General features: G+C 38.2%; 1 long non-coding RNA gene across 15 annotated transcripts in view; it reads right to left on the bottom strand.

Annotated features, from left to right (window-relative positions):
* The window catches only part of LOC102723409 (uncharacterized), a 77,085-nt gene that overhangs the window by 41,631 nt on the left and 11,509 nt on the right, over positions 1-23,945 (bottom strand). For 7 of the 15 annotated variants that reach the window (XR_007059756.1, XR_007059761.1, XR_007059757.1 and 4 more), the window contains exons 1-4: positions 18,430-23,938; positions 12,283-12,516; positions 6,335-6,430; positions 5,064-5,263 (exon numbers count right to left, since the gene is read on the bottom strand). This is a non-coding gene — a long non-coding RNA (uncharacterized LOC102723409). Of the gene's footprint in view, positions 1-1,819; positions 5,264-6,334; positions 6,431-12,282; positions 12,517-18,429; positions 23,939-23,945 lie in introns of those variants that run through there. The other 8 variants (XR_001743860.2, XR_007059765.1, XR_007059754.1 and 5 more) reach the window with 4 other exon arrangements.

Raw genomic sequence — 23,945 nt, forward strand, 5'->3', positions numbered from 1 at the left:
TGTTTTTTGTTTTGTTTTGCTCAGGAATTAGATAAATAACTCATTTAGTGAGGGTGAGCTTCTTGGTTTGTAAGTGTCAGAAAATATGTTTGTTCAGCTCTTAATCTTGAGTGATTGTTTTGGGTATAAAATTCTAGGTGGACATTTTCCTTCAGCATTTGATGATACGATTACATTGTCTTTCTACATCAATTAACGCTAATAAAAAGCCTACTTTTATTTTGATTAGTATCTTTATAGGTTTTCTTTCTTTGGTAGTTTTTAAGAGTTTCTCTTTGTTTATGATAATCTGTAATTTCACTACGATGTATTTAGGTGAAGATTTTGGTTTTGCACTATTCAGAACTTAATGTACTTTTTTCAACTTAAGATTTAAGTCTTGCAATTTGAGAAAATTTTCTAACATATCTCTTTAAATATTGTCTCTTCCAAATTTTTTTATTCTCATTTGAATCTTAGTTAACTTAAATTGGAGCTTCTCATTTTATCTTCCATGCGTCAACCTGTCTTTCATACTTCCCGAGACAGATCCAGGTTTTTTGGGACCTGCAGTTTAGACAATCTGGGAGTCTTTATGGACTCCCAGAAAAGATCTGGGAAAGGATACAAAAGTATGAGTAGAAAATTAGATATGAAGTACATATTTCTTTAGAATGAGAAAAGTAAATCACACAAATTGTAAATTGAAACAAAACAAACAAATTCTACAAACATAATAAACTCCAGAAAAATATTGTAATATGTATATTAACTACTGGAATACCTCCATAATAGTTTTATTCTTCTTCGTCTTTGGGTGCATATTTTCCTGTGACAATAATTATGTAATATATTTTTCAATTGAGGGAATGAAAAATATTTAATCTCTCCTCTAGCTTGGTTATTACTGACAGTTTTTTTTAGTGCCACAAGTCATCATTGGTCAAAAAATGTGCATGGACTCTTCAGTGCTATCTAACATAAGAAAAGTATGACAGAAGCCAAGTGGAATGAAAAAATTCTGCAGTCTTCATCAATTGCAGTTAAAAATCTCACTTTGCAAATTCTTTTAGCAACATATAACAATATAAACACACTGCTAAGGAGGAGCATATGCTGAAGGGTCTATGCAATTGAGAGGCCTAGAGCTTAAGCATCATTACTTCATTATAAATCTGGTAAATCAGTCTCTGTATATTTCCTGTTTCTTTATTTCTTTCTGCTGTATTCTTATTTCTTCAATTCTATTTTGCATTTCATTAATTCTCTTTTCGATGAAGTTAGTCTACCATTTAGCCCATCTATTGACTTTTTCACTTCAATGACTTTTTTTAAATCTCTGAAATTGTTTTTTCTTTTTCATGCCTTCCTATCATTTTCAAAAAATAATATCTATTATTCAGTTTATTCTTCCTATATTCTAAACATTTTAAAGATACTGATATTTTAATTTATCCTAAGTTGCTCTATTATCTGTAATTCCAGTCATTGGAATGCTTCCAATCATTATAGGGGCAAACAATCACAGGGTAGTAGACTGCCTTGGTGTTTTGTAGTTTTGATTGTGTGCTAATTATGATGACAGTCTTACATGTGCCCTGGCTTATGAAGGCATCTCCATGGAGCACTCTTCTGTTTATCTTTATGAATACAGCCCAGATCTGACACTTTATCATACACAGGGCCTGCAGTTTTGACACCATCTTTGCACTAGTATTAAAATCCCATCCCCTTATTGAAAACAGATGTAAGATAATTTGCTCATTCAGGAAATAGCAGATTTAGGAGGATAAATATTGTTATTTTTCCATGGATAGAGGTAGAAGTTGATACCACTCACCAACACAAACACACATAGAACTGGAAAGATGGTCACTAGCAGCTCCCAGTATCAATTTCCAACAGCTTTATGACTGGAGAGAGAAATAAACTTCTATCTTCCAGTTTCGGTTTGCAAATTCCAGTGTACAATGCTCCTCTTGAATGTGGTATTCAGAACCAAATGGCCTGATGTGAGCCAAACATCATTAAAAAAATAATAACTCTTATTCCATTGAGATCAACATTCTAATTCTGTTTACATGATTGCAGAGTTTTCTTGCAGCTACTGGCTGATGTTTTTAATCACCTGTTATTTTTCACATGTGGACACAAGTACTCAACATAGGAATCCTCCATTCTGTAATTGTATGATTAATTTTTTACACCCAAATTTAGGGATTATATGTATCCCTTTTACATTTAATCTTACAACTTTCCCCACATAATATCCAAGGTTTTTTTTAGAATATTTATTCTACCATCTGGGTGAACAGATGGATGGATGGATAAAACATCTAACATTACTCCACTCAGTAGAGCTGACTGTTTTACAGTCAGCAGTGCTGTTCTAAAACTATTTCAAGCTCTGGATCCTGCTTCTATTATTTCCCTATCATTGCCCCACTTTCTCACTTTTTTTTGGATATTGCAAGCAGCCACCACTAGCAGCCAAGGAAATTGCAACTGAAGAGAAAAGCTTATCATGAAGAAATAGTAATTTGTGAAGTGGTACCCCAGTGGCCTGGATTATTAAAGGCTCCCAATGAGCCCAACTCCCTTTGGAGGAGCAGTTTATGCAGTAGGAGAAGCTGATTTAACACATTTGTGATTCTGTAACCCCTCCTGGTACTGGGTATGCTATCACCAACTCTGCTAAGTGATCAAGTTTCATGGCACATGTAATGATAGCACAGCGGGACTTCAGTAAACAACAAAAATTAAGAGGTAGCTAGAGAAAGCAAACAATTATGGAAGAGAAGACTTAAGGATGGGGAGAGTTGGCTGCTAAAGGCAGAAAATTCTTCCTGTTTCAGGCTTAAGTTTAGGGAAACATAAATACGGTAGTCTATTGTACAACTGTCCAATCAGAATGGGTTTTGGCCACTATCAGCCTGGGAATGTTTGTAACAAGCAATTTTAAGAGTTATTTGGCTGATTATTAGTCCCTGAAACCATTCTGTCATTCTGTGCTAAATAATAATAGTAATAATCATAATAATAATTTCAAATTCTTTCACACAATGATCTTTTAAAAACTCAGCACACTCTGATTCCTAGCAAAATATTATTTGATAAGGGATATGGCATCGTATTACTAATCTCTCAAAAGCTCTTGAGGGATATCATGTTATCCCATTGGATATCTCTGACTATAGTCTTGGTTAAATGAATGATCTCCCTAGAGATGATGAGTCTAACAGGTATAAAAGACTTGATTCTTTTATTAAGTGATTATTTTTCTCAAAATTGTAAAGTCCTCTGTGTGTATATTTAAACCCTAGAATTGATTGTATTTCCCCTTATATAACTCCCCTAAAGAAAAAATGTCTATAAACCTATCAGAGTTCTCTTTTGGGAGATCTTCACTCGTGTTAATGTTTCTGCCATGCCTCCAAAAGCTCCCTTCCACATTCCAAATTTTCCCTTCATTGTATCTTCATTTTTTATTGACGTATTCATAGAAGGAAAATCTGTTTCTTGGTTTTCTGGTGGTGTGCTTAACCCATATTTTCTTTCAATAAAGTGAATATGTATAATGAGACATTATTATAGATTTTAAAATGCTGACAGCACCACAAATATCATAAAATCCAGAAAATAACAAAATAATTAACTGCTTGGCAATCACCATAATCCTTTTGCTGTTGTCGTTGTTGTTGTTACCTACACTTTTTTTTGTTGTTTTTTGTTTGTAAAATACATGTAGCAGAAAATGTATCATACTTTAAAATGCTAAAGATTAGCATTTGTGATTCACTATATGCTGATTGTTTTGAAAAGCTCCTTCATGGGTCCTATTTCATGTTTGAAAGATGCTAGCCAAAATCCCTCCTAAGCAAAGAGGAAATTGCTTCTTCTTCCTTGATTCTGGATTGTCTTCTTCATCCTCTTCAGGAATAGAGAAAGCAAGGAGGCTGGGCAAGTCAGTGAATCCCAATTCCCATGTAGCTGTCGGCTGCAGCCCTGACAAAGCCTCTGCAATGTCTCTCCTAGGGGACTTAGCTGAGCAGTGCCTGAGCTGTGCAGCCCCACCTTGGTAGCAAACATCTTCATGTGCTGATTTCTTGTCAGGGTAATGATTGCCCAGGATGGTGATTTCTTGTACAGGGTCACTGTTGTGTTTCGTGAATATGTGAGTATGTTGGAGCGGGGTGTTGGAGGAAAGATCTTTAGCTCAGCAAACAACAAATCAGCAAATCTACCAAAGTCTCAGTCTCTGCCCCAAGATAACGAAAAAGTATAAATTCTGGTTTGATTTTAATTGACTAGAATTAGATTTAAAAAGACAGATTTCAGTTTTTCTGTGTTAAGACTAAGTGCCTTTTCATTTATGTTGTTTGTTAAGTAATATACACAGAAAATAAACACAGATGAAAACTACGCTGACCTAAATAACTATTTGCCTTGTCTTCTTCAGATGTAATTTGAAAGCCTGGATAAAGAAAATAAAGTTCCTTAGGGTTTCATGTGATTACAAAGGAAACACTCCAGAAAACTAAAATGGCAAATATATTTAAGGTAATTCTCAGTGAATAGACTTGGGTTGCCACGATCCATTTTATTATTGCTTTTCTAAATTGCTTTCTTACCGTTCTCTGCCAGAGCCTCAGATCAATCTCTAGGAACTGTTGCGAGAACTTGTCCAATGTAATGACACCTGGCACAGAGCTGTAATTATTTTACGTGCAGGGCATGTTATGCTGTGCACTAGGTCTTTCGCTTCATTAAAAGACTTTGAGTCTCATAGTAGGCTTTAAGCACAAAAGAGGGCATCATACAGCAAATGTTTTAGTTTAAGTAGAATTTCTCCAGAAAGCAAGGAGCACAAGGTCATGGGCATTTGGGAAATGAGAGGTGGTGGGGAGGCATGTAGAGCACAGCATGTGTTATTGATTTATTGCCTCTCAGCTCCAAATCCTCCTTTCTTTCCATGGAGCTGAATTCTGTAAATACCTTCCCATCACCAGCTGGCCCAATGTTCAGCTCTGTGAGTGGAGGAGCACTGGAGGAAAGAGTATTTTCTCTTGCTCTGCTGTACTCACCTTGCTGGGCTCCTGCAGATGGTGCAGTTGTTTCAACAGTGCCTAGGGTCCAGCAGCAAGTGCTCCCACCTGTGGCAGCTTCCCCAGCATACCCTTGGGATCTGAAGTGCCTCACTGCGGCCAGCTTTCCAGCACTCTCGTTTTGGGCAGCTTCCTAGGGGAAGGTCCACTCCAGTTCTCTGCACACTTCCCTGAGGAAGCTTCATAATAGAGTATTAGTGAGCATGGTTTCTCCCCCAAAACAGTTTCCCCAGCTTCCCACAGTCTGTAGAGTTCTGAGGCACAGCACCTTCATGAGGACAGCTTCCCTCGAACTCCAGGGGGAGGATTTCCAGCAAGTCCCACCAGAGCGGTGCCACAGTGAACTGCTCCATGCCCCTCCACAGTTGGTATCTCAGCCCCTGGAGGAGTGGCCTTTTTCTTGGGTGCTCTATCCCAGCCCCAGGGTTGTGGCTCTCCCTATGTCTACTGTTCTTTACTTGTTTGCATTCTCCATGCCTCTATTAGCCGATTCCTCATTACTGAAATCCCCTATTAGTTATTTATGTTAAACTTTCTCTATTTTTATGTGATTTCTGTCTCCTGTTGGACTCTGACTGATAGAACCCCTCAGTGACAAAGAAGAGAGAAAGGTTCTCAGTGCTTCACAGAAAGAAATGCTGCTTTTCCCCTGAGCATTTCTGTTCCATTTACCCATCTTCCTAACAACACCCTCCCTGCTCTCTGTGCTTGGTCATCAATGGCTTAACCCCATTGAATATTCTTCCCATAAAGGTCTCCTACTTCCCTCACTCCCAATTTCCCCAAATCTGTGCCTGTCTTAGACAAAATCTTCGGGGGATGAGTAAGAAAAATCACTTTAATTTCTTCATGAAATGTACCAAAGTAAAACCTGCACCTTGACCTTTAAGAAAATTCCCAACTTTATATTCTGTAACAGATACTTGAATAAGACTCTGACTTGATCAATATTGCAAACTGCCAAGTTTGTGAAAGTTCCTGAAAATCATGCTGAGAAACAGCAGAAATTTGTTCATAATATGAAGGTCAGTTGAGAATTTCTGAATTGCATTGGACAGGATCAGAGCCACGATGGCCTGGTTTGACACTATAATCTGTCTCAACCATGGCACACAGAAAATCGGTGTTCATTATATAATTTTCCAGTGCATGACCAGAGTAGTGACAAATTTACTTCCCATGATGATTATAAATAAAAGGAATGCACTGTAAGTGCAAGTTAGAGATGCTGAAATATACATTACACTTACTTCTTTGATCTGATTCCTCTACTGGCCTTTATCCTCTTGGCCCAAATAGACATGTGCTCCAATTATTTCTCTAGGTGTAGGTAAATTTAATCTCACCTACAAAAACAAAGATTCATTTGAAAAATTAGCATCTGAGCATAAAATATGAAACAAACAATGGACTTTTGTCCAATAACAGAAATACATGACCAGATTCCATTTCACAAGCATGCTGCAAAGTACAGAGCTATTCATTTTATATCTGAAACCCATTCATTTAAGAATACAACGTAAAACCCAGTTCCCAAAACCTGCATAAATATTGTACTGAGGCTCAGCCTAGGTAGTGCTTGGCCTTGCAACTTTCATTTTGATATACATTATGGTCTGTTCACCTCTTCAATTAGTCTCAGAGGTGAAAGACATAGAGGATTTTTCTCTTGAAGCACTATGAATCTCAGAGGGTATAGTAGCGGAAGGGTTTTAGGGGGTGGAACAGGGTGAGAGCTGAATGGGGCCCATATAGGGTATGTGCAGAGTGTCGTGTGGATTCGAGTGCTAAAGATGAGGATGGCCTTGGGGTCTGGGGCCTCTGGAGGTAATCAGCATATATAGAGATGAATGACACCATGATATTAATCCTGGCCGACCCTAGTCAGATAGCAGAAACAAGACTTTGGGTGCTGAGGAGTAGAGAAGTCAAAATATAGAAAATGCTAGAAAAAGAACTTAACAAAGATAAATGTGGAGAGTGGGATGAGTGGTGCAGAGGACTGCTATTTTTTTTAAGCCATTAATTTGTTAAAAAGTAAAATGGTCTGAAAGGCATCATTTTGATAATAATTTTAAAAACTAATTTTGAGCCACAGATAAAGATCCAATGAAGCCTCTCAAACCCCGCCAACATCTCTGAAAGCCTAAGGCCCTGAAACTATGAGTTACAGTCCTTGTTACATTCCAAATGTTTATCTAAAACCCAGACCTGCCTCTCAGTCTCCTATCCCACATATCCAAATGCCTTTTCAACATATCTACTTGTATGTCTAATAGGAACTTCAAATTTTATATGTCCAGAACCCAAATCCTGATCTTTTTCTCCCTATTATCACCAAAACTAAAACTAAAACAAACTCCTCCATAGAAGTTATACATAACCAAATTGCTCAGATCATTTCATTGCATAATTCCCTCCAAATCATTTGCCTCCTCTCGCTTTGTTTGTGGTCTTATGTTTTTTATGCTTTTTAAATTTTTTTGACAAAATACATGTAACATAAAATTTATGATTAACATTTTTAAGTGTATACTTCAGTAGTATTAACTACATTCACATTGTTGTGCAACCATAACCATTATCCATCTCCAGAACTCTTTTCATCTTGCAAATCTGAAACTCTGTACCCCTTAAACAACAAATACCTGGCAACCACCACCTAATTTCTGTCTCTATGAATTTAAATACTCTAGGTATCTCATATAAGTGGAACCATACAGAATGCATCCTTTTGTGACTGGCTTATTTCACTTAACATATTGTCCTCAAGGTTCATCCATGTATCAGAATTTCCTTCCTTTTTAAGGCTGAATAATATTGCATTGTATGTATACACCACATTTTGTTTATCCATTCATCTGTCAAAGGACACTTGTAATGCCTCCATCTTTGGCTATTTGAATAATGCTCTTCTAAACACAAGTGTACAAATATCTGTCTGAGACTCTTCTTTTAATTCTTTTGGATATATACCCAGAAGTGAAATGGTTGGATCAAATTGTTTGGTGTATTCTTTGGCAAAACTAGAACCCTGGTCAAATTCTCTCTCTCTCTCTCTCTTTCCCCGCCCCTACCTGCCCCCGTCTCTCACTCTCTCTCTCTCTCTCTCTGTGCCTAATTTAACCCTGCACTCCTACAGCTGTTCATGGCAGCAGAAGAAACAAAAACATTAAATTCTCTCAATTCACAACTAAAAACTAGTATGACCAACCACCCTGGTTTGCCCAGGACTATTCCATTTTTAGCACTGAAAGTCTAAATCCCAGAAAACCCATGAATTCCAAGCAAACTGGGACAGTGTGTCACCCTACCAGAAACGTGAAACAGGCCTTGATCGCACCTTGCAATCAATTGTACTTTCCTAGGCCTTTTATCCTCCTACTCCCTCCATCTCCCCAATCCTTTCCCTGATAACCACCATTCCACCCTCTGCTACTATGAGTTAAACACTTTAACTTTTTGAATTTCTACATATATGTGAGATCATGTTGTATTTGTCATTTCATTCACACCTTCTACTCACTCCTTAAGCCTCCAGCACATCTCCTCTCCTCACAACTGATTATCTTGATTCCTATTCCAATGATTAAACAGAAGCATCCAGAAATTAACTTTCTGATTCCTACCACCATCTACCCACTTGCCATGGTCTATACCCACAATCTTTGACTTCCCTTCTAGTACCTATCTGTAAATCATCCATTTACCTAGAGAGGAACTCTCCGTGTTCCTCTCTAAAGCCACTTCCTTGTTTTGTGAACTACATCCCATTCCTTCTCATCTACTGAAGAAACTCTCTGTAGCAATTATCCCCTCATTTTAAACATCAATTTCTCCTTTACTGGGTTATTTCCAAAAACAATAAAATATTCCGTTATTACTCCTATGATTAAAAAAAAAAAAAGAAAAACAACCCCACTTCCCGTCAGCTGTTAGACCATATCTCTAATCTTCTTTACAAGCAAAACTCTCTGAAAGCATTTTCACATATTTTCTCCAATTCTTCTCCTTTCAGTCTCTCTTAAACCCTCTTGAACCTAGGTTTTTGTTCCCTACCATGATATTAAATCTGCTCTTGTCAAAATCACCAATGATCTTTATGTTGCTAAATTCAATGATTGATTTTCAGCCCTCTTGTTACTTGTTAATAACATTTGGTAAGTTAGATGAGTTACATCTGATAGGTTGATATACTTGGTCAGTCCTTGTTATCTAATACATTGCTGGGTCTTCATCCTGTCTCCTCATTTCCTTTTCTTCTCTTTCTTGACTTCTGAAAATCTGGTGTGCTCTATATCTGTTTTTGGCCCTTATCTCTTTTAGATTCATACTTTTCAAGAAAAAGTTTTTAATTTTAAAAAATTGAAAAAAGAGTAGATATTTATGGTGTACATGATGTTTGAAAACATACATATGTATATGTAGTGGAATGGCTAAATCAACCTAATTAACATATGTATTATCTCACATATTTGTGATGATAAAATCTTTTTCATCAATTTTCAAGCATATAATACATTGTTATTTTTGTACAATAGATTTCTTGAACTTGTTCCTCCTGTCTAACCAAAATTTTGTAAGCTTTGATGAACATCTCCCCAATCCCTTCCCAGCCAACCCCTGGTAACCACTATTCGACCCTCTGCTACTACGAGTTAAACATTTTAACTTTTTGAATTTCTACATATATGTGAGATCATGTTGTATTTGTCATTTCATTCTTGGCTCATTTCACTTAAATAGTGTTCTTTAGGTTCATCCATGTTGTCACAAATAGCAGAATTTTCTGTTTGTAAGGCTGTATAGTATTCCACTGTGTATATATCCCACATTTTCTTTATCCACTCATCCACTGATGGACACTTGGGGTGATTCCATATCTTTATCTTGGCTATAGTGAATTGTGCTACAATGAACATGTGAGTGCTGGTGTCTCTTCAACATACTGATCTCATTTCCTTTGGATATATGCCCAGTAATGGGATTGCTGGATCACATGGTAGTTCTATTTTTAATTTTTTGAGAAACCTCAATACCAGTTTCCATAATGACTTTGTGACTCCCACCAACAGCGTGCAAGGGTTCCCTCTCCTCCACATCCTCACCCACACTCGTTACCTTTTGTCTTTTTGATAACAGTCATTCTAACAGCTGTAAGGTGATAGTTCACTGTGGTTTTAATTTGTATCTCTCTGATGATTAGTCATGTTGAAGATTTCTTCTATATCTGCTGGCCATTTGTATGTCTTCTTTTGAAAGATGTCTATTGATGGGGTTCAGGACATAATACCTCAAAATATGACACGTTGGCATTTTGAAACCACCCTTACAAGGCTGATGAGAATTATAAGCCAAGATTTCAGCAGAATTATAGTTAGGCATTAACCAGGGTGCATTGGTGAACCTAGATCCACTTTCTTACAGCTGCTGACTAAGAATCTACGTAGAGCATGCTGACCCGGCTCCTGCATTGTTCCCATAGATAAGATTTGTGATATAAAATTATAAAACCTTTTGTACTCAATAATTGCTTAAGGTATTTTTCGTTTTTATTTTATTTTTTATTTTTTATTGAGACGGAGTCTCGCTCTGCTCTCCAAGCTGTTCAAGCCATTCTCTTGTATCAGCCTTCTGGGTAGCAGGGATTACAGATGCGCGCCACCCATGGCTGGCTAATTTTTGTATTTTTTAGTAGAGACGGGGTTTTGCCACCTTAGCCAGGTTGGTCTCGAACTCCTGACCTCAAGTGATCTTGCCTCGACCTCCTAGAGGGCTGGATTACAGGCGTGAGCCACCACACTCAGCCAAGAATTGCGTAAGGTATTTTTAAATCCTTAATTCCAGCAGAATGGCTGATGCTAACCAGTCTGAAGACTCCCCTTACAAGGGAACTGACAGCACAAGAATGCGGTTTCTATATCACCCTGTCCGATGATTTCACATCTCACTTCTTGACCAACTGGCAATCCCCACACTTCAGCCTATTACCCATCCAGACCCCTTAAAACCCCTACCCTCAAACCTCTTGGGAAGGTAGATTTGAGGTTTCTTCTTGTCAAGCTGCCCTACAATTATTAAACTTTTTTTCTGTTGCAACCCCTGGTGTCTCGGTATATTTACTCACTGTGCATTAAGCAATGAACCTATTACAGTTACAATTTGAGAAAACAGCAGAAGCAGGAAGGTCTCTCTGACTGTCTCCCACCCTCCTGCCCTGAATAAGGCCTTCATTCCAGAGGCACCCATCCTATACACAGAGAAAAGGAATGTTCTTATCTCTGAAGACATACAGAAACAGAGAAGAATCTGAACAAACAGGCCTTGTTAAGTTTCTCCTAGTTTATTACCATTAGATCATACCCCTTTTATCCAATTATACTTCTCTGTAGCTATCTGCTTTTTCATCAAATTTAGCATAAAAATACACATTCTCTGTTTCTTTGGGAGTTTATTTCCAAAGGCTCCCAAGTCACATAAAACTTATTTTAAATAAATTTGTAATTTTTAAATTAATCTGTCTTTTGTTATAGGAGCCACAATCATGTACCTTGTGATGAGTAAGGAAAATATATTTCTTTTCCTTTACTGTTCAGGGTTTTTGCCCATTTTTAAGTGGAGTTATTTATTTTCTTGCTATTGTGTTGTCTGAGTTCTTTATATATTTAGTATATTAATCCCATTTCAGACATATCATTTGCAGATATTTTCTCCCATTCCAAAGGTTGTCTTTTCACTCTGTTGATTGTTTCCTTTGCTGTGCAGAAGAATTTTTAATTTGATCTGATCCCATTTGTCTATTTTTGCTTTTGTTACCTAACCTTTTGTTAGGCATTATTTGATCCACACTCATTCTTTTGGTGATCACACCCAGCTTCCTGCCTTTAAAGATGCTGACTGCCCTCAAATTTATATCTCCAACCCAAACCTCTCTCCTGAACTTCAGCTTCACACACTTTAGTTGCCTAACTAGTATCTCCACTTGGAAGTTAGACATCTTAAATATATCCCAAAACTGAAATTTACAATCTTTATTATCTCATTCCAAGCTTTTTCTCCCTAAAGGCTTCCCTATCATAAATGATGGTAAATGTATATTTTCAGTCTCTCAAGCCAAAATATTTGGAACCATCCTTGAGTCTTATATATTTCTTTCACAGTTTATATCCAAATTATCAGAAAATGCTATTTGGTCTACCTTCAAAATACACCATGTTGCAGTTGGTGTTTTGCTGGTGTTTCTGCTGTTCAGTAAGGGGTGGCTGTGACATTTTCCTGGCAGTTTTTCTGCTTCCACTTGGGTAATTTCAAAATAACAGAAAAACAGAGCAAGCTAATGAATCAAAGGGTATAGCATGGGTGTGATACTCTAATTGCTTCTAAGAATTTCCTTTTCTTCCAAGAAGTTTTGCTTAGAAACACATACACGTAGCTGAAAAAAGATGAAAAGTAAAGTAAGACTATAGCTCTGGTACAATGGTTTAATATGTTCTGTACAGGGTCTATCACATTCAGTGCTTAATGACTACTCACTGACACAAATAATACTATATTACATCTATATAGTGGCTTTCTATGCGCCCAGTGTTGTTATATGCATCTCATTCAACACACTTACTCTTTACAACAATCCTACCAAACACTGAAGTCCTTGAGGGCAGAGAGTGCTTTGCATCCCCAGACACTAGCAAAGGGCCTGGCGCTCAGTGACTGTCCAGGAAATGTTTGTTGAAGGGGTTGACTCACTGACATAGGCTTATTATCCTCGTTTTACAGCTGATAAAATAAGACTCAAAGAGATAGAATGACTTGTTCAATATCACCATGCTAATAACTGGGAGTCAGCCATCTTCTAATTCCCAAGTAAGTGTTCTCCACAATAATCACAAGCTATAATTACTTCGGAATGAGTTATGGCATCTCTGTAAAGCAGGATATAACACATTAGAGTAATAATCTAACACAGTATGATTGCTAAAGTTTTAGTGCAGATCTCTGCTACAAAAGCAAAGCTAAACGTTGGGGCAATATTTTGCCAGAGATCTTAGTTATTTGCTTTTGCAACAAAGAGTCCACACAATGAGAGAATGCTATGGGGCTTCCAGAAAGATGGTCATCTCACCTCTATTTGAATACTGCTCCCGGACAGCCCACTCAATATTGGAATTCTTTACTGTTAGAAAGATATTTCTTATTTAATATAACAAATATCTACTGAATTTCTACTGTCACTGAATCAAAGCTAGGTCTACTCACTCAGTGCAATACAGTGCACTGAAGCCAAACATCCACAGAGAGGTTTTACAGCAAGAGAAAGGAGGGTGTTTACTTGCAGGACACCAAAAAAGGAGAATCAGGAAGCTCATGCTTAAGACTCAACCTCCCTGGTGATTTACAAGCAAGGGTTTTGAAAGGCAGGGGTATATTTAAGGAAAGCAGAAGTTAAAGGCAAAATCATGAATCAATACATGGAGGTTATACACTGATTTGGCCTAAAAAGGCTGGATATCTTGAAGTGGAGGCTTACAGATCATAGGGAGATTCAAAGATTCTCTGAATCGCTGTTGGTTAAAGAAGAGAAACTTTGTCTAAAAACTTGGGGTCAGCAGAAATGAATGTTAGTGTCTGGCCTGTGGGAATGACTTTCTCCAGGCCTCTCAGGAAGAAATTTAGGACATAGAACCGCCATCGGAGTTCAGTCCTCAGTTCCCCCTTATCTGAGGTCTATGTGCCGGCAGATGGCATTGTCTATTTGGTGGGGTCTAGGTTTCTGAAAAACAACTCAAGGACATATGTTAAGATGTTATCTTTAGTTTCTACAGAAAAACAAACATCTTGTGACTCTAACTTCCTTGGCTATTTTCTTAAGTTATTATTACTTGCTTGCTTATCAGGTTGCCTATTTCCTTCTCAAGGATGGGCAGGTGCTGAAACTTTCCTTGAAGGAACTCAAGATTGTCCTTTATTTCTGTGCTTGGCGGTTGAGGGAGCAGCAGGCCCCCAAGAGTGGTGGCTGCTCTAACTACTATCAGTCGTTTGGAGTTTTCTACTCCATATGTTTAATATTTGTCTGCCTCCCTACCCTACTCCACCTACCTTTTTAAATCTCTGAAGACTACTATCATACCTACTCTAAGTAGCCCCATTCCTTCCTTCTGGGTTATTTGCAACCATGTTTCATGTGACATCATGTCCATATTTCTCATCATCCTGGTCCTCATGCTCTGAATAAAAATTAGATTATCACGAGTCCTCTTAAAATGTACTTAGCATAACTTAATATAATTCCTCAGGATAATTTGAAAATGCAGGATTTAGAGGCTAGGTCTTCTCTTGCTTGACTCTCCCTAACTTTAGTTGACAGAATTTCAAATAATTGCCTTTTTTTCCCAAATGTATTGCTTCATGTAGAGTATACTAAATGTATGTTCAGCTAAAGAACAATTTTTTCAATTCACAGAAACTTTTGCCCAGAGAGCTGCACCAAGCCTGTGTACTCACAATTTTTTAAAGATTCTAATAAACAACTTCATAATTTTCTTGAAGTTCATCTTCATTGTTTCTGTATAGCTTTTGACATTGAAGGCTAAACACACCGAGTTTGCAGGCCAATTTTACCTAAACAGTAATTCTTCCTCAACCACAGGTAAAGTCCTGGGCTTGGGCTATTCTTACCTTAGCAGCTCTTGGTAAACTATGCATTTCTCAGCCCATCCTTGAAATCTCATGTCCCACAGGATTTGCTGTAGTCCCCTAAGTAGGACCCATTGGACAGAAGCACTTTCCCCACAAGCCCTCCTGAAATCAGCATTTGCATTACTGGGTTTGACCTTAGTTTTCTGATTGCTAGCCACCTCTGGATAAGTGCTTGACCTGATTTTCTTTATGTTTAGCTATTGGCCAGGGTCATGTTCTAACTGGGTAGAACACTTGGCATCTCAACTTCATTCTGTCACCTTCTATATGAAAATTTCACTGGCTCTGTTCTGCCCACCAGATTGGACTACCGTAGATATTGATAGCTGCTCAATCAAGCTGAGGTTCACAGTATCCTTTTGGACAGGTATCTGGACTGCATGTCTTCCTTTTCTAAGAGTGGCCTTACAGCTGGATCAAGTCCCCTAAGTCCTGGCTTCATCCCAAGTTCTAGCCTCCATCTCTCCTAATCTGCCTGTGTACATCTATGATTTCAGCAAGCTTCAGTCCAAAACCAAGCCTGCTAAAACTCCTGTAATAATCTTTCACTTGAACTTGTCTCTCATAAACAGTTGTCCACACTTTGTTGATTTGATAAGCTTATTTTTTTCTCCACTCAACTTGTGAACAACACAACAAAAAATGTTGTTCAGTCTTTTCCAGTACAAGAAGAAAGAAAAAAAAAAAAGGTTGACTTGAGCTATGTCAGCCTGTGTGAGGCTTCTCTCTAGTTTTTAAAACAATCACCAATCAAAACTGTTTGGGTAAGGTTGCTTAAGCATACTATAATTGAATTCACATTTTACAATCTTATAGTGGAAACAAGAAAGATGTAGTCAAATATTTGCCTAATTTAATGCTATTTCAAGGACAGTCTCTTAATCCACTAATCCTAGTTTAAAAAGAGAAGAAAGTTGAGATTTATTTGGCCTGTGTTCTTCCTAGTGAACCTATTTTAGTCCCTCATACACATGCTTACCGATTTATAGTTATTGCAACTACAAACAGATGGAAACAGCCTGGGATTAGTTAAATAGTGGCAAGAGATGACTCCTACAGGTAACAGGTTCCCTTGACAGAGAATCACAGCACCTTTTTTAAGACCGTTTTGAAGTATGTTCCTTAAGTAGTTTAATAAATAAACAACAAGGGTAATGTAGAATTTTTAAACAGAGTTTTACATCTTCTCTCAGAATGAAAAGAAAGACGAATTTTGGCATTTGTCAGACCTGGTTTCAACCTACAACTAGACAGCTACATGACCTGAAGGTCTTTAATTTTGAATTTCCCTGTGTGTCAATGAGAGCATAGTATCTTACAGCTTGATTGCCAGGATTAAACTAAAATGTAAAGCAACTAATATGTAAGAATTTAATAAAGGTAAAATCCCTTTCTCTTCATTCTCTTCTAAATGTTAATCTAAAGTTTCTTATACAATTAATTTTCCTCTTTAAGATTTAGTTTCCTGTTCTATATAACAGAACAAAACTTTTATAAAACATATTGTCACCATTATCTCCTTTCAATATCTTCCAACTTACCCTAAGTGAATACTAGTTTCCAACTTTCTTCAGCCATATAGAAACATGGGAAAAATTAGTAAAATAGGTATATTCTCCCCAGTTACTAAAAGGGTAATGAAGTGCTCATACTAATGCTTTTGAGAATATCCTATTTTATTTAGATTGGGTATATGTGATTATATTAAATAAACAGTATTCTTTTAAAACACGTAGACCTTGCACATAACTCTCCATATTTGGGGGTGGAAGGTGGGCTTTCCGAATGTTCCCCTCTCCACCAGCCCATTTCTCCCAGGCTGCTCTCTTTAATGGGTTATTCCTGTCACACATGACTAAACTACCTGACATCGCCATTTTTTTCACATGGAAGCATCTAGTTAAATCTGCTACTCCTGCTGCCATTTAGGGGATATTGTTTCATCTCCACCTATATGTGTACCTTATTTAAAAAAACATTGTTTTCGTTTTCCAACTACTGTCTGCAGTCATCCTCTGATGCCTTCCACATAGTGGGGACTCAGCAATCAGGACCAGCTTATTCTCTCCTGGACCTTTTGCTCCCCAAAATCTCCCCTATTTTTTCAGTGCTCTCAGGTGGTCCCACACTTGATGCTTCTAAAGCCAAAGTCTCATTCGTGGCAACAAATAACCAAGCAAACCCCATGCCGTGTCAGCCAGCCAGGGCACCCAAATTGTCTTCTTCAATGGCCATGGCATGACTTTCCAGGTTCAACCAATCTCAAGGCAGCTTTGGAACAATCAAGAAACACTTATGCCCTAGGTTCCAACTAATATGTGGGAGGCAAGCACACAAGAAATTAGAAAGAAATTGCCAAAGAGTATACTATTTACAATTATTTTCTTTATGTTACATTTTATACAACCTTACAGAGCTTTGTAACGGCTAGAATGTCTAACAAGCCCAGAAAATATCCTCTACCTCCTCTCTTACCTTGAGCTGACATTTTTTAAAAACAAGTAATCAATTGAAAGACTCTCGAGTACCTAAAAGAAGCAGGGAAAGAACTGGAAGCCCTGTGTTTGAGTCAAATTCAAAATTTGCTTAATGACCTTGGGTAAATTGCTTTGCCTCTTTGAGTCTGTTTCCTCATCTATAAATGAGAATGACATTATCTTCTTCCTAAGACTATTGTGAGGGATAAATGAGAGTATATTTGAAAGGATTTCAGAAAATATAAAGTGCCAAACATATGGTAAGTGCTATCATCCAATTGCAGCCAAATAACAGAGTAGAACCACTCATCAGATGAGGGGGAAGCTACAAAATGTGCAATTTGGATCAGCGCATGAATTTCATTCCCCAAACCACAAAATTATCATCCCTGCTTCAAGTCACCATACTGGTCTCTCACATCTTATAGAATGTGTATTTTCAAAAACAATGGGTAGAGATTTCCAGGGCTCTGGAAAATGGAACTGTTAGCCCTGGGAGTTTCAGAAGAGAAATACAAATATTGATCTTAAAATAAGCTCATTATGTGGCATTTTGTTAGTGTTGACTAGAGAAATAACAAAAAGATTTGATGTAAATGTGATTTAATCTCTCATGGAGAATTAATGTCTTCTCATATGTAGACATAGATAATTTTCTAAGGTAAACTATATTTTTCCTACTTACTTTGCAATCATTTCTACCATATTTCCTAATCGCCCCTCACCTCCTCCACTCTAATCCTATGGGAAAGCCTTTGCCCATCCCTGTCTGTTCGTTTGCCTTATCAGTTTGCCATCTACTTGTTGTCAACCCCCAAATACATATCTCCAGCACAGACCCCTCTCTTGATGGACAGACTTTGATTTCTGACTGCCACTCAATGCCTCTACTTAAATGTCAAACACATCTCAAATTGAACTCCTGATCTGTGCTCTCTCTCTCTGTACCCATAGTTTTCTCCGTCTTAGTTAATGGGTACTCATTTTCCAGTTGGTTAGACCAAACACTTTAGAGTCACATTTCCACACTCATTCTATCAGGAAACCTTATTAGCCCTACTCTTCAAAACAAATACCAGTCTAACCACTTCTCACTGATGCTACAGCTACCATTTTCGTCATAGCCACCAACATCTATTGCATAGGATACACAATAGCCTTTTGAAACTTACATCAGTATATGCCATGGCTCTGCTCAAACCCCTCCAGTGGTAACCCACAGTACTCCAGGGAGAGCCTGACAAGAGCTGGTTCTACTGGTACCTCTATGACCTCATTATCCTATTCTTCTACCCCAACTCACGCTGCCTCAGCCACACTGGCCTTTTTACTGTTCTGTGAATATCCAGGCACATTCCCTTCTTATGACCTCTGTACTAGTTTTTTTATCTGCCTGGTGAATGCCCTAAGAGATCCATATAGCTAACTCCTTCACATTGCTCACTTTCTGAAGGAGGCCTGCACTGACCATCCTATTTAAAATTGCAATTCCCCTCCCTGGCACTACAGATCCATCGTATCTTCTTCTTATTCTTTTTTTAATCTTCTCTAAATGTATAGTACTAATAACTCCAATATGGTCTTTATTTTTTTTTCTGTCTTTCTGTATACAAAAATAAAACCACAAGGACAATGTCTCAGATAGAGTACCTGGCACTCAGAAGATATTTGTTAAATAAATGACTTCAGTCTCTCGGTTTTCTAGAATCTTGAAAGTTGGGTCATGGCATGTATTTGTTTCCTATTGCTATTCTAACAAGTGACAAGTAATTTTGTGTCATAAAACAAGATAAATTTATCCTCCTACAATTCTAAAGATTGGAAGTCTAAAATAAGGTTTTCAGCAGGATGTCCTCCTTCTGGGGACTTCAGATCTCTGTTTCTTTGCCTTTTTCAGTGCTAGAGATTCCCTGTACTCCTTGGCTCATAGTCCCTTCTTATCACTCCACCTTCTTGCTTCTGTTGCCATATTTCCTACTACTCTTACTCTGATCTCCTGCCTCCCTCTTAAAGTATCTTAAAGAAGCAGTAAATGGTTGAGGTGATTAGGGCCATTAGTAGGGCCATTATTAGAGCCATTAGACTTGTGATTACATCAGGCCCACACAGATAATCCAGGATAACTTTCCCATCTCAAGATCCTTAATTTATTCACACCTGCAAAATCCCTTTTGCCATATAAAATAACATTCACAAGTCCCAGGACTTAGGACTTGAACATCTTTTGGGTGGAAGGATAATATTCAACCTACCAGGTTGAATATGAGAAACAGCTAAAACTACAACAGCTGAACAGATGTGAATGAAACTACTACAAAACTATATTTGCCAGTGGAGCAGGCACAATAAGGAATAGCCAAATTGGGGTTCAAGCTTTATTCAAATAACTTGGGAGACAAATAATATAATTTATATTTAGGCACCTACTGGAGATAGAAAGAAAACCAGTAGATTTGGGTTACAGAAGTTTTGATCAAAGAGCTAAGAGACAAGAGTGAGAACTTGGTCCAGGGTGAAACACGGCAATTCTCCTAAGCCACATAAAGGATTTTGGACTTGGTTCTAAGGGAAATTGGAAACCACTGACAGGGCTTACATAGGAAAGTGGCCTAATAAGACATACATTTTGAAACATATCACTCTTGCAATAATGTGGGAAAAGAGTGAAGAGCAAGAGAATATGTGAAAAGACCACTTGGGAGAATGATGCAGTAGTCAAGGTGATAGAAGCTTGCTATTGTATTGAGTCTTAGTTTCCTCTCTGTCAAATGAAGATCACATTATTATCAGCCTCACCTAGCTTTTGCAATGATTCAGTAAGAATACACATAAATCACCATGTTGGGTACATAAACAGTGCTGGCTACTGGCATTGTAACTCTGTGTTATCTATTCCTAATACAAAATTACAGAGCTACTGCTTAAAAGGAAATAAGGTATTGATTATATCTAAAACAAGGTATTTAAAAACCGATAAAACATTGACCTAAGCACAACAGGATAAGAAGCTACCCTCTGCACTGTCTGATTAGGTTGAGAAAATAGGTCTTTCCACACCTCTTGCTAAATTAGTAAGAGACGACAGCGAGCTCAGAGGGAACTTTGGGCCCTGGATGTTAGTAACAGGGAAACAGGGAGAAACAAAATCACCACAGTGACATTTGGTTGCCAAAGATGCAATATTATGAAAATGAACAATGTTGAGGGTCTCAGAAGTGCTTTTTCTTGTGTCTCCAAGCAATGAGGTCGAATAGTATTGAGTATAGGAATAGACTTGGGCATGGCAAGTGAGCTCAAGTTGTGGCTCTATCATTTACTAGGCTTACCATTGGGAAAGTAATGTAAACTCTCTGAGCTTCAGTTACCACTTCTGAAATTAAGATAACAACAGAAATATATTACATAATGACTTTTCATCAGAATTTAATGAGAAAATGCTTGCAAAGTGCTAACACAGTGCATGACACAAAGTACTCAAATAGTTGTTATTATATTATTTATGCTGTAGCCTTTTTTTCTTATATGTTGTTCAGTCCACTATCTTTCAAGAAATTGTGAAATAGCATCCTGAAAGTTAAGGGAGGCAGAAAAGAGACCAGAAAGGAAGCAGCAGAGAGAATACTAGGGTCAATATCAAGTCATCTTTACCAAGCAGAGAACACACTCGCCTATGATTCAAGCAAGGATGGGGAATTGTGTTGCAGTCGAAGTGTGTCAGCAAAGAGCAGACTAAGAGCCAGCAAGGGAAGATATAGGTCAGAGCCAAGGGGAAGACAGAATGACAGTATCGACAAGAAGAGGTCATCTCCTGGAGTGTCCGGCTTACTGTCGCCAGGAATCCAACAGCCCACAGGAGGAGGAGGAGGATAAACGAGAACACCGGGCATACTCTTGAACTGCAGCTGCCTTCTCTGAAAATACAGGCACATTAACTCTCCTTAGATGAAAAGGGGAAAGAAACTCTGTTTGCAGTCTTTTCCAGAGAGGATTGAGTGCCTCCTATTGGAGTGCGAAAAAGAACCACTTAAAACAAGACGCTGTTGTCAACAAATAAAATTAGGAAGACAAATCTCATCAGATACTATCAAGACTAAGAGAGACTAGTACTTCTGAGCTTTCCAATAGATTTGGACTGCCAAGGTTTATAAGTTGCATATGGCTAGGAAAATAAAATAGGTAATCTAATTTTCCAAAAGCCAAGGGAGTGTGAGTCAAAGATAAGAAAAGAAGGCTTACATAAATAAGCCTCCTCAGGAGGAGAATGGGAGAGTTGCCTAATCCACATTCTTCCCTTTTGATGTCCCATGAACTCAGGCTGAGAAGAACACATTTAATGCTATGGGAAGGAAGAACTTGGATTTTTGTCTCAGCAAAGTACGTAGAACAGGCACTTTGAATAGCTGCCATAAGATGAATTTAGAAATTTTCAGAACTATAAAGTATAAGATGTCTTCAGCAAACTAGATATGATTGGTTACAGGTTATGCCCATACAAAAAAACATTTCAATGGCTCCCCATTGCCTAATGATTACAAGATCCTCCCCCTGGTTTTGAAAAAATCTTCCCTTTCTCTGTTCAGTCCCTATGGTGGGATAAGGAAACCCTGAGTGTCCCAAGTGCCATTTCACCTGTGTGTGAAGACTGACAAGAGGATGCCCAGTCCAAATTCTAAATTCCCAAGAAAAAAGGACCGTCCATCTCAAGGCAAGCATCCACTCTTGGTCCAATTACACATAGTGAGCCCCACACCACAAACATGGCTCCCAGAACATGTGCAATGGGGAAAGGAAACTGTGGATTTGTTAGAGATCCTAAAGTGTGTCCAGATTACTTTTCCCTCTCTTTATCTCCTGATTGCTACACTCGATCACATTAGACCTGTTGGAAAAATAAATGACACAGGACTTCAAGGCCAAGGTTTGGAAAATGGTCAGTATATGTGCTTAGGCTCATAAATCTTAACTTATATTGTACCTTCCTAAGCTTAAAGGGCATGGCTCTTAGTAAAAGTGACAAAATCACACCAAGGTGGGGATGTTCAGGGTGCAGGTTCTCTGGTATGTGCTGGCTCCTTACCAGGGAACAGGTGTAGATGCCAGTGCACATGTCATGGAAGCCTGGCACTGGGGTATTTCGAGTCTCTTTTAAATCTATGTCACTTTGAAATGATAGTGTTATTACCTTAAAAAGATCATCAGTGCCATATGGTTGAATTAGTCTCAGTTGATTTTTGCCTAAGTCTCACGCCTGTAGCTACAGAATAGCACCTAGTTCTCATAGATGAGTGATCATTCGTCTGCAGAGCCACAGGGCCCAGGAGGTACTGAGCATGACAGACTTGGCCATGGCCTGTCACACAGGTCCCACTCAGTGCCCCCACAGAAAGAAGCCTCTTCCTTATCCTTCCAAGTGGTGCAGTATCTCCCTTCTTCCCATCACTAGAACACTGGGGTTTTGTCTCCCGGATTAGGTTGTAAACATTACGGCACTGCTTTGCTGTCAGTTTGAATCCTGGCTCAGCCACTTAACCATGTGACCTGGGAGAGAGAGTTGCCAACTGAGAAAAAGGAAATAAAAATATCACCCTCTTAGGTGTGCTGTGAAAATTAAAAGGCAATGTATATAAAGCACATAACATGCTGCCTGGTACAAAGGAACTGCCCAATAAAGGCAAATAACATCAATATTATTTTTTGAGAGAAGAGTCAGTATCTTACTGCTATTTGCATGCAATGCCTGTACCTAAGTACAAAAACAATTAATTAAATAGAAAAATGGCCACTCCAGGACAATGCCTCCAGCCACCTGACACAGAGACTTGCCAAATGCCTAACGTGAAGACACAGCATTGGCAGGTTGCTAGACTTGCCTATCTTCTTTGAATCCCTCTTTGGTTGCTAGACTTGCCTGAGTTTTTCAAATCCCTTTAGAATCCTACCTATCTGTGGATGCTAGACTTGCCTCTGTGGTTGCTAGATTTGCTTGTCTTCTTTGAATCCCTTTAGAATCCTATCTATCACATGTGGGTAAGTTCTAGGAGTGTATTAGCCACAAATATCCACTGAGCACCTATTATGTGCGAATTACTGGCTTTTAAACATTGGAGACACCTGATGAGAAAAAAAAAGACCCTGTTCTCAAGGTGCCAACCATCTCATTCCTGAATGCATTATCTACTTTAACTCTTAATGTTCACCTCGTGTTCACTAATTCAAAAATTTACACAATTCCATGGTTTGCAATGATTTCAGATTTTCCAGCTGAAGCAGCAGCATCTTTTCCAGTTGACAGCATCCCTCAGGCCACCACTGTCAGCCCTACTCTTGCTCTGGTTCTATTACAACAGCATCAGGGCCACTGCTGTCATCATAACTAACATTCACAAATGATGGGTACAATTTACAAAGTATTTTGTGTAAATTATCTCATTTATTGTATCCAGATGGGATACGTATGGGTTGCTTTACCATAGCTCTATACAGCACAGTCTCTGCTCGTTTTTAGCATCTTTTTAAATAAGCCTAGATGCTCAGTTTTCTTTTTGTCCACAACAGGTCACTGAGTCTTTGTCTTTATGTAACAATTTATATGTTATCCACCAAGCTTCTCTTCTAGGTTCAGACTCAGGGTAACACATTTTGTGTTTGAAATTTTGTGTTTCTCCCAAATCGATGGCTTTGTACTTAC

This window comes from Homo sapiens, chromosome 6 (genome assembly GCF_000001405.40).
Source record: "Homo sapiens chromosome 6, GRCh38.p14 Primary Assembly".
Lineage (NCBI taxonomy): Eukaryota > Metazoa > Chordata > Mammalia > Primates > Hominidae > Homo > Homo sapiens.